Source organism: Homo sapiens, chromosome 1 (assembly GCF_000001405.40).
Source record: "Homo sapiens chromosome 1, GRCh38.p14 Primary Assembly".
NCBI lineage: Eukaryota > Metazoa > Chordata > Mammalia > Primates > Hominidae > Homo > Homo sapiens.
Genome location: NC_000001.11, coordinates 159,430,369 through 159,441,764, shown reverse-complemented (window position 1 = coordinate 159,441,764; position 11,396 = coordinate 159,430,369). Strand labels below are relative to the sequence as shown.

Here is an 11,396-nt window from a genome sequence, read left to right as displayed (position 1 = left end):
CAGTCCTTTTGCTTTCATACCTGTAGCTACATTGTTTCTTCTCTTTGGAATTCTTTCTTATCATTCAGACAATCTCTTGTGTTTTAAAAACAGTTTGCATCACAGGTCCCCTCCTCTTAAGACTTCCCTAACATCTCCAACAGTCTCTCTCTCTTCCCCTTTCCTTTTCTTTCTTTTTCTGAGTTCTTCTTTAATTGTGTGTAAACACCACTTACCATAAAGAACTGAAACCATACTGTCAAATGCTTGTTTTTACCACTAGGCTTGTAGCTTCCTGAAGCCAGACAAGAAAGCTTTTTTAATCTTTATTTCTCCAGGACCTAGCACAGAGGCTAGTTCATAGCTCTTGCCCATTATGTGTTTTCTGATTTAGCCAAATTTGAAAGGATCCAGGAGTATCTCAGATTATGCCCTCAAAACACTGTCATGATGACTGTAGAATTGCCAGCATCTCTAATTAAACTGTGTATGCTCACCATCTTTAATAAGCAGTTTTGCTAGAATCTGGGATAAATTAACACATCCAGGAGAGAACATCTATTTCTCCTGGGCTATCTAATCCTGAGGCCACTTTCCCTCCCCACACAGTAACTTATTACTTGACATGTCATAAACATACTCCAATAGGGAATCCAGTTTCAGAAGCCCTGGTGCTCTAGTATAGGAAGAAAGGGATTATAGGAAAAAGATTTTAAGTGTGTCTTGGATTCTATTTTCTCAAGGGGCTTTCTATTGCCTTCATTAGGTGGAGATTCACAAAGAAACCAAAAGGTCAGTAAAAAATTCTCAGCCCATACTACTTTCTGGCCTTTTATTTAGGCATATCTTATCCTTGTTTGTCTATTTATCCCCAAAAATAGGGATAACACTCCATCCAGTAACTTTATTTAAAGCTTCAGACTCCCAGTTGTATGAAACTGCTATTCCTCTTTTGCCTCTTATTTAAGGGGCAGGTCTCTAGGAGCCAAGTGTTTGTGAGTTTACACCTCATATTCCTGCCTAGTGTGGATGTTGACAGCCTCAGGAGAACTCTTCCTACATGGTCAGGAAAACTTCCCACCAACAGCCCTGCACAGAGCATCTTTGACCTCTTTATTTCTCAGGGTGTATACCACAGGGTTCAGTAGGGGAGTGATGACAGTGTAGGTCACCGAGATCAGCTGGTCATGTTCTCTGGTGTTCTCTGACTTGGGCTTGAGGTAGGCAATGGAGGCACAGCTGTAGTGGACAATGACCACAGTGAGGTGGGATGCACAGGTGGCAAAAGCCTTCTTCCGGCCCTCAACTGAAGCAATCTTGAGGATTGTAGAGATAATGAGAACATAAGAAATGAAAACCAGACCCATAGGTACAACAAGCACCAGCACACTGATAATCAAAGTCAGGATTTCATTGACAGTGGTGTCAATGCAGGAGAGCTTCATCACAGGGCGGATGTCACAGAAGAAGTGGGGCACCTTTCTAGCACAGAAGGGTAACCTGAATACAGATGTCACTTGCGTTATTGCTACAATCAGCCCAATGCTGCAGGCCCCCAGGACAAGTTGGATACGCAGCCTCTTGTTCATAATAACCATGTATCTCAGGGGGTTGCAGATGGCCACATAGCGGTCATATCCCATTGCTGTGAGCAGGAAGCAGTTAGTGATGCCAAAGGTTACAAAAAAGAACATCTGTGTGGCACACCCTGCCAATGATATGGGCTGGCTCATACCTACGAGGCTGGAGAGCATTCTTGGGAGAATGACCAATGTATATACAGTCTCTGAAGTGGACAGCATGCTCAGGAAGAAGTACATGGGTGTGTGAAGATGAAGATCCATTCGGATGATGGTCACAATGATGATATTGCCTGCTAAGGTTAAGATGTATAGTGCAAGGAACACGCCAAAAAGGGTGATCTGCTGCTCATGGAAGCTAGAGAAACCTTGGAAAACAAAGTCAGTGATGAGAGTAAAGTTCTCTCTTTTCATGGATTGGTTCCCAAATCTGAAACATAAAAGCATAAAAGTCACATAGTCCCAGTAAAGCAGTAGAAGCACATTTCTGAAATTGATTGAAGTTCAATAGTTCTCAGTTACAAATCTGGTGATGTATTTCCTAGTGGATTAAGTTAATCCCTGGGTTTACTTATCTTTACTTAAAATATTTTTACTCTGTGACCATCTGTTATAATTTTCCATGCATCATAGAATCATATAGTCTCACTTTTTCACTGTATAACCATACATGCTCCTACTTCATATCTACTCTTCCTCCCTGACATCTGGAATGGCTTCTCTTTTCTCCTCTTATTTCTTTCCTACTCTTCAGAGATGAGTGCACATTTTCAGGCCTTCATAAAACCGTATTACACTCAGAGGTTCTCATGTTTATTTGGATTATTTTTACCCCATTATTGCTGCCTCACCTCATACAAACACTTAGCAACTTTATAATACCTTTTACATCTTTTCATATTTCACTAGCTCCAAATTATGCATGGATTGGGTGCTTGAAAATAATTTGTTTAGGGATGGACTAGTGATGTCTTTTCTTTCAAGACTATGAATCATCCTCCTTGCGCATCCTTTAAGAATTAGAAGCAAAGTAGAAAGGTTCATCTTGTCTTCAAGAAGAAAAAGGAAAATCTTAGCCAACCACCAGCCTCTCCCCACTTCTGTCTGAGTGATGGAAGTCTGCTGACAGTTCAGAGCACTGATTCACGTATGTTATAAACTATGCTACATCTTTACCTTCCCTAAACTAGAAGGCAAATTTATAGCCAATACAACTTTGTGAGTAAGCCTACACCCACTCTGCAGAGATAAACAATTGTATCAGGAAAGATACAGCAAATTTAAGTGTCCCTCACCTAAAGCAAAAGCAAACCCTGAATATAAAAAAACAGCTACACCAAAGATACATCATTTTGTTGAAGGAAGGGGATCAGTTCAATTTATGTAATATTTCACATTTTTATCTCTTTAAACAGTAAGCTTCTCTAGGGTATTTAAATTATATTCTGATTTGCTTATGCATATTCAGAAAGAGAAGTTTTGCATAAAGTAAATCACATCAATGATGAAGGTTAGTACGCACGGAGACTTTCTTCAAGTTCATAAAAATCTATTTAAAAGAAGTTGATGACCAGCTGTTAATCATTTACACTAAGAATGCTAAAAAGAAAGTAAAGCTGCAATAGAGAATATTTTCCAATAAAGAAAATCATTTGATACTAAAATATATGTCTAAAGACATTTGTCTTCTGTGAGGCTTCTGAGCAAAAACTATGTAGTAGTCCAGCCACGGAGTGGTATGGTGCCTCTATGGTGAAATCAGAAATGCTTGGCAGAGCTTTTAACTGTTACAATAATGAGCACAGAAGCTCTTGGCCATTCACGATGTGAAATGTCCTGCAAAACTTGTGGTGATTCTGCCCAAGGAAGAATTCCCTTCTTCCAAATACCAATAAAGTTCCCATTGAGAAACACACGGCTAAAATATCATCTTATCTGGCTGAAACTTGTCTGTCTTGAGGTAGAAGAATGGCTATTATGATTTGGTTAGCATCCTCCCCACTCTTGGAAGTCTATAATTCTTCAAAGGAAATGGAAGGAAGAGCAAATATAGCTTATGAAGACCTGTCCAGCTGTGATAGGACCTGAAATACTACAATAAATTAAAGTCAGCTCATATGTAATGAGCCCCATTTCAGTCCTTCTTCTAAAGACCACTCACATGACTCTGCTTAGCACTGAGGCACAACGGGAAAGCTGGGCTGGAGGAGGCCGAGGAGTAAAGATTGAAATGTCAGGCTCCCTTGGCCACAATGGATAGGCATAGGGTGACCAAGGTGAGCAAGGTGACCAAGAGTGCCTACGGCAGGACCTGAGGCTGAGCAGGCAGGGCATAAACACACACTAGTAGGAATATAGTCAGGTTTGAGAGTCATAGGCATTCTTGATAACCCCTCTGTGTGGAAAAGTCTTTGAAGCCAGAGGAGATGCTCTCCCAGGATCAGGCAGCTGGGCTTCTGGGGGTCACTCCCTGAAGACATTCTGACAGCCACCCCCCTGGGGCTGGGAGGATGCAGGTATCAGGTACCTGGAGGTCTCATTATGTATAGGGCTCATTTACTCAATTCCAGGCTAGCGCTTGGGGAGCCTGGGGAAAGTTTTTGCTTCAAGTTGAAATAACATTTGAGGAAGCTGGTTTATTTAGTTGATTTTTAATTGTTTGAATAAGTACATTGTGAGTGTGTATATGTGCATGTGGTTTATTTTTTATTTTTTATTTTTTTACAGATGTATCTTAGAAATCCATATTGAAAAATCTAGGCAGCTCAAGCTTAGAGCCATACCACCTTGGATTTCAGGAAGTTTAGGGCCTTTTGCTTATAGGCAGGAACTCTATCTAGTATAAGAATCTGGTTTTCTTTTTGGAAAAGAAGTATTTAAATATGGTCGTCATTCTGCAGAGGGCAGTTCATGCTGCCTGTCCTTGCCCTGTGGCATTCAGGATTGGAAGCACACCATCTTTAGATCCAAAGATTCTCTCCTGGAGGCTAGGAAACAAATTAGCTTTTGAACACTGTTCTCTTTACCCGGATTTTTCTTCCCTTTATTTGGTAAGCTTCTAACTGTCTGTCAAGACCCAACTCTAAACTTACTTCTCACTGAATACTTTCCATGAGTTGTTTACTACTTCTTTAAAAATTTCTTAGTCTTTCATGTGATATTTATTTATCTGCATCCATTCATTCTTTAAGCACTTAGCATATGTCAGGCCCTGTGCTAGTTGCTGGAAATACAGAAATGGATGAGGTGCTGCACCAACCCTCCAGGAGCTCAGGGTTTAGTTGCAGGTGATAGACAATCATAATAACTGAAATGTAACTGTAAGTGAGACAGGGAGGAGACAGTCCTTGATTAGACTCAGGTTGATTATGAAAAATTACATTGTATAGGTAAAGTGAGAACAGATTACAAAAGAGTATTTGAATGTATCACTTTTAAGAGCCTCTCAAGTGATTCTCGCTTATCTCTCCTGTTCTTAGACTCTAAAGTTCCTTAGCAAGTGGCGTCTTAAGGAAGTGATACTTTTTTTTTTTTTTAAAACCGCTAACCATTTTTTTCCCTTTTCCGGTCTTTCTGGTGATTTTCCTTCCTTGTTGAAAAAAAGAAAACACCATACCCTGCACTGGGATTTGGTACATTGACCTGTGAGTGGTGTGAAGATGGATTTGAAGTTGGCAAAAAGAGGAAGAAAAACCAGCTAGGCTGCTGATGTAACAGAGATAATTGGGACTGATCTAGAGGGGTGGCAATTGGCCCAGAGGGGAGGGATACATGTGAGAGACATTTGAGGGAAATCAATAGGGCTTGTAACTGAATCAATGTGTGGCTCAAAGGAGAGGAAAGAACCAATAATTTCATAAACTGCTCTCATCAGGTTCATTCATGCCAACTCTCTGATTATTTACAAATATACATAGCTTCTTCTTGTAACAGATGAAGCAAAGAAAATGATCTCCATATTAATGGTTCATGATCAGATATCATTGGTGGCTACGAGATCTCAACAGGAAAGGAGTGGAATTGGGCTAAAGAGCTCAAGACTTTATGATACTATTGCTTTGGGACAAATTAGGAAGACTGTAGAAATGGAGAACTGGGTTGATGATATAAAAATGTGGTATCTGGCAAAAAGGACAGGTATACCACTTCAGTAGCAATTAATATTTATCAAACACTTTCACAGATTTTTGTCTCACATAGGCCTCCAAATAACCCTCCGAAGTCAGTAGCAGTATCTAATTTTACAGATTAGGGATGTACAGAAAGTCCAATCTGCCACCAATAGCAAATATATTGGGATTTTATGCTAGAAGAAAATGAACACATGTGGAGTGACTATAGAAACAAAGCTGGCAAAACAGCCAAAAGAACCTAATGCAAAATCTTCTAGTTCTGCAGACTGCTTTATTTGGGGAACAGATTTCAGTAGTTCTTATTATAGTTTGTTTATGGCATTCAATTTAGTTTAGGATCCTGGGTCTAGACCTCTTAAGAAGGCTTTGGAATTGTCAATGGGAGTCTTTCAGGGCCCCGGATAGGGCTCAAAACAGATTTAACTGAGGTTCCTAAAGTTAGATCTACTCTCACACCATCTTCCACACTATTTCTGTCACCTAGAGCTGGCGTGTCCAAACTGTCTGTGTATGAAAACCCCTTTTTACATTCAAATATTTCTTGAATCTCCAAATTGATAATATTTGGATAATAATAGTTGTACTATTTGTACCTATTGATAGGAAAAATAAGTTCTGAAAAGGAGAACTATGAATTAGTAATTGGTGCTTTCAAATGAATTATGGTACTTTAAAAAATACTTGTAGATGCTTTTGTCAGTATTTATTCAGACTGCATGTGAGAATTGATGCACACAGGAACCCTGAGACTTCTTGCAGTGACTCTGAGGCAACTAGGAGAGAAGAGAGAATGATGTTGTGAGATGTATTTGGCAGGTCAGTAAGGAGGGCATAAATAAAGGGAATCTGGAGGAGAAATGCAGACAGGTGCTCTTAGTGGTTTATTAACCACAAAAAGAACACTCGGAGTGAAATCTGAGTGATTGCCCCATAGACATAGACACCACTTTGCTTAGGTCTAGTTCCACATAAGCAGAGCCTGAAATAATGTCCTGGGTATATCCAGGAAGTAATACTTGGAAGACCCTCGGAGAATAGTTAGTTTCCTTTTACTGGAACATAGGATCAGGGACTATAAGAGAAGCCCAGTTACAAAGTCAAGACCTCCTAGGTAAAAGGGAATTCTATTGACAAAGAACAAATGAGAATCCTATTGTTAAAGCTAGGGCTCTGTGTCCATATCAAGAGTGACTTGATGTTGACCTCAGAGTGACCCAGGGAGCAATGTCTGTGTAGGGTGGTGGTGGAGAAGGCACTGAGAGCTTTCCATGTGCCAGGGAATGGTATGTCCATAACATTGTTGACTTCTCACAGCAACCCTGGGAGTTGATATTGTCCGACTCACCATGCAGATAGGAAACAAAAACCAGGGAGGTTAAGTATCATAACAGGACACATGCTTGTAATGGCAGATCTATGATTGGGAATGCATGCCTCTCTGTTCAAAGCCTGTACTCTATCTACAATATCATACTGTTTTAGCATCTCCTACTCAAGGTCATTGGTTCTTAGAGTTGGGGTTCAGGGTAAACAATAACTGTTCTTCAGTAGTTGTTGGCCCACTTTAGACTTCCTTTCCTATTTTCCTCTTTGGGGTTGTGCTGAGTGAAAAAGGGATGCACCAAAGTATTTTATGAAAAGGAGTGTATTATAATACACTATTCCTAAACTTCCAGACTGATTCCAAAGTCCAAGATATCATGAATAGGATCTGAGATATGTGTAAATCCACAATTTGGGATGGGGTGGAGCCTTCTCCTTTTCCTAGGAGTATGGAACAGTATAAGTTAGTTATTATGGAGGAGAAAGCTGGTTAAAATGAATATCATGAGCTTACAATGCAACTACAGACTTCAGGGCTGGGTTGCACGTGTTTAAATCCTGATTCTGCCTTGAGGAATTAACTTATTTGAGGTCTCAGTTTCCTCATCCATAAAAAAGAATAATAAAATATCTATCTCATAGATTTATAGTGAAGATTAAATTAATAACATACTTAAAATAATGACTACTATCTAGGATACATTCAATAAATGTACCAAAAGGAGATGTCACAAAGAGGGACAAACAGCCTGAAAGTGTTAAAATAATAGAAGGAAAATGAGAGAAGAGCTACCTTCTAATGTATTTTAGCTTCTCACAGCAGTCTTCTTTGCTTTTTCTTTCCTTCCTTCCTTCTTTCTTCCTTTTAATAAATATCTAACATCTACTATGCACCAGACACTGTTCTACATGCAACAGATGCAAAAAGAGCACTCGCAGTGAAGTCTGAATAATTGCCCCATAGACATAGGTACCACCTTGCTTAGGTCAGGTTCCGCAGAAGCAGAGCCTAAAATAAGGTTTTGGGTACAGTGATTGACTAAGGAGTGCCCTCAGAGGAAAGGGAATGAGAGAAGCAGGATGGGGCAGGGGAATCACTATGCAAGAACACAGTCTTAGCTGGAGCATAACTTCAGCCTGATCTAATGGAGGGATCTAGAATTGTGCCCTAGAGTTGGTCCCATCTTCAGACAAGGGGTGGTGGTGGCCTTTTGTACCCTTTGTGTCATTCATGAAGTCAAGTTCACCTTACATAAACTCCTATGATATGATAGTATATATTCTTCCTATTCTCCCTGCTGGTTTACAATACCTTATGACAAGAGTAACAGGAATAATGTCTAACATTATAGTGCAGTGCATGGATATGCTTTATCTTATTTGATTTTCATCAAGCTTGGTAAACCCATATATCTGACTTGGCAAATCCATCTATTTCTTTTTTTCATTAATATTTTTCTTTCTTTTTTCAATCTATGAGGGGAATAGATTCCTAGATGCTGCCTAGATCAGCCACCTGGTGCTTTCACAGTATCTCTCATCTTATTGTCCCTCTCACTGTGACACCTCATCAAACTCTTTTTCTTTGATTGTTATTGAACTGACCAGCACCTAAGAGAGAGGCTTTCTGCCCAAAGCTCTGAGCAAGGCATCCTTGACCTCTTTGTTCCTCAGGCTGTATACAACAGGGTTCAGCAGAGGAGTAATAACAGTGTATGTCACAGAGATAAGTCTGTCCTGCAGGGAATTTTGGGATTTGGGTTTTAGGTAGATGAAAGAAGTACGGCCATAGTGGACAATGACCACTGTGAGGTGTGAGGCACAAGTAGCAAAGGCCTTTCTCCTGCCCTCAGCTGATGCAATCTTGAGGATGGTGGTGACAATTAGGACATAGGAGATGAAGATCAATACCATGGGCAGAACAAGGACACAGAGACTGATGAGCAAAGTAATAACTCCTTGATAGTAGTGTCTGCACAGGCAAGCTTCATTATGGGCCGGATATCACAAAAGAAGTGGGAGATGAGATTAGCATCACAGAAGGGAAGGCTGAATACAGAAGACACCTGAATGATAGCTGTGCTCAGGCCAATGTTCCAGGATCCACTGACCAGTTGTATACAAGCCTTTTTGCCCATGATGACTGAATACTGTAGAGGGTTGCAGATGGCCACATAGTGGTCATACCCCATGGCTGTGAGCAGGAAGCATTTATTGACACCAAAAGTGAGATAGAAAAAGAGCTGAGCGGCACAGCCTGGGATGGAGATGGTTTGTTGAGGACTGAGGAGACCGGACAGCATTTGGGGGTTGATGGCCACGGTATAATAGGTCTCAGAAATAGACAGCACACTCAGGAAGAAATACATGGGCGTGTGAAGTTGATGGTTAAGGCGGATAACTATCAAGATGATAGCATTGCTGGCAAGGGTCAAAACGTACAAGACCAAAAAGATCACAAAGAGGATGAGTCTGTGATGCCACTCAAAAATGGAGAAACCCTCAAATGTAAACTCTGTCACAGCCATGAAATTGGGCCTTGGCATTGAGGAGAATCTGAGTCTGAAAGAGATGAAGTGGGAATGTTGAGCATCCAGGCTGGAAACAGTAGGCTGGTCCAGGATCGTCATCAGCCATGTGCAGGCACTGAAATGGCATGTAGCTCTGGGTTTCAGATGCTCTCAACATTCAGACACAGGCAAGTACTGAAGGACCCATCAAGGTTCTCTGGGCCCTGAGACTGGGGGACAGATGTAGTATGTGTCTGTTGACAGGAAGTAAATGTGTAAAGGGAGTACAGATGCCCTTCAATGTATGATGAGGCTACATCCTGATAAACCCATCATATGTTGAAAATATCGTGTTAAAAATGCATTTAATACACCTGACTGAACATCATAGCTTATCCTAGCCTACCTTAAATGTATTCAGAACACTTGCATTAGCCTACAACTGGGCAAATCACCTAAAACAAAGTCTATTTTATGATGAAGTGTTGAATATCATAGGTAATTTTTGAATATTGTACTGAAAGTGAAAAACCAAACGGTTGTATAGGTACTTGAAGTATAAATTCTTCTGTATGCATATCACTCTCGCACTATTATAAAGTCAGCGACTGTATGTATTGGAGACCCCTAACTGGTTTGACTAGAAGTAGATGTAGACCAGAGAAAGTACTGAATACCTGTGCCCAGGCCTGAAACTCTACTCAGACTCACCTGGTTTAAATCACCAATGGCACATTGCTCGTCAAAGGCCAGTGCAAAGGGACATACCTAAAGAGTGAATGAGTTCAAGCCAAGGACAGATGGCTGTGTGAGGCGCACTCCTGGGAAGTCAAGAGAGGACCATTCTCCTGTGTCCCAGGACTCTGGAGTCCCTCTCCTCAAAACTTGCTCCATCTCTGTTCAGAAGGGCTTCCATTTGGTAAGTCAAGGTAGAAAGCACTGCCTTCTCTCAAGGTTCAAATTCACAGTGGCCAGTGTCTGGAATAAGGAAGTGAGAGGAGACACTCCTTTTCTCCCGTGTGGATAGTCCAGTGTGCTGACCTAGAACATTCTGTGGTGCGTAGCCACTTCTCTTTTCAGTCCTGCTTTCTTCCAATATCCCCAAATATTATGCGTTTAATACCCGAGTCTCCCCGTTCCGTGTGGAGGGTAGCTTCTGCTTCTATTTTTTAGTCTCTAAACACAATGTAGGCTTGGAAGGTTTTTTATAGATTTAAAACACTAGTAACTATAAGACAACAGCAATAGAAACAACAAAATATTTAAGTTCATAATAATCTCTGGCTTTAACCCCAGTGTAAATGGAGGGATGCCTGATTTTCTTTGCTCGTTTCATTTGTCTCCATGTGCTCATCTACAAAATAGAATAATAATGTCTACTTCATAGTGTCACTATGGAGACCATATGAATTACTGTATGTAAATTGCCAAGTGCAGTTCCTGATACATAGCAGGCAAATACTAAATTAAATTTCTGCTTTCCTCCCTTCTTCTGTCTCCTTCCCATCCCCACCCCCCATAACTCTGGGTTCCATTTGTATGCTTGGCCACCCAAACATGTGCGCGCGCGCACACACACACACACACACACACACACACCATAATTTTTTTGCTTTCTTTCTTTTTTTCATGTTCATGGATGGTTGTTGTCATTAATTTCTTCAATCCCTGTTGAAAGGTCCGGTCTTTACTTTCCATACTCACTTCTCTTCCAACTCTAGATTTTGAAATGTGTGGGAATTGGGGGCAGGGTAGTCTGGAGTTAAATACCTCTGTGATCAAACCCAAGCCCCACTTACTCATATATGACCTTGGAAACAGTTATCACCTCTCTAGGCCTCAATTTCTTCACTTGTAAGATGAAGACTGTG

The 11,396-nt window shown here is 40.7% G+C and overlaps 1 protein-coding gene and 1 pseudogene across 5 annotated transcripts in view; both read right to left on the bottom strand.

Moving 5' to 3' along the window:
* Positions 1–797: 797 nt before the first annotated feature.
* The window catches only part of OR10J1 (olfactory receptor family 10 subfamily J member 1), a 43,503-nt gene continuing 32,904 nt past the window's right edge, over positions 798–11,396 (bottom strand). The window contains exons 4-5 of one of the 4 annotated variants that reach the window (NM_001363557.2): positions 10,294–10,503; positions 798–1,989 (exon numbers count right to left, since the gene is read on the bottom strand). In NM_001363557.2, the coding sequence (NP_001350486.1) occupies positions 1,044–1,973 (930 nt within the window). In that variant the 5' untranslated portion in view covers positions 1,974–1,989; positions 10,294–10,503 and the 3' untranslated portion in view covers positions 798–1,043. Of the gene's footprint in view, positions 2,044–10,293; positions 10,505–11,396 lie in introns of those variants that run through there. The other 3 variants (XM_047417793.1, NM_001363558.2, NM_012351.3) reach the window with 3 other exon arrangements.
* Positions 8,627–9,561, bottom strand: OR10J4 (olfactory receptor family 10 subfamily J member 4 (gene/pseudogene); annotated as a pseudogene). Its single transcript, NR_145510.3, has one exon. The product of NR_145510.3 is annotated as an olfactory receptor family 10 subfamily J member 4 (gene/pseudogene), transcript variant 1, non-coding (transcript).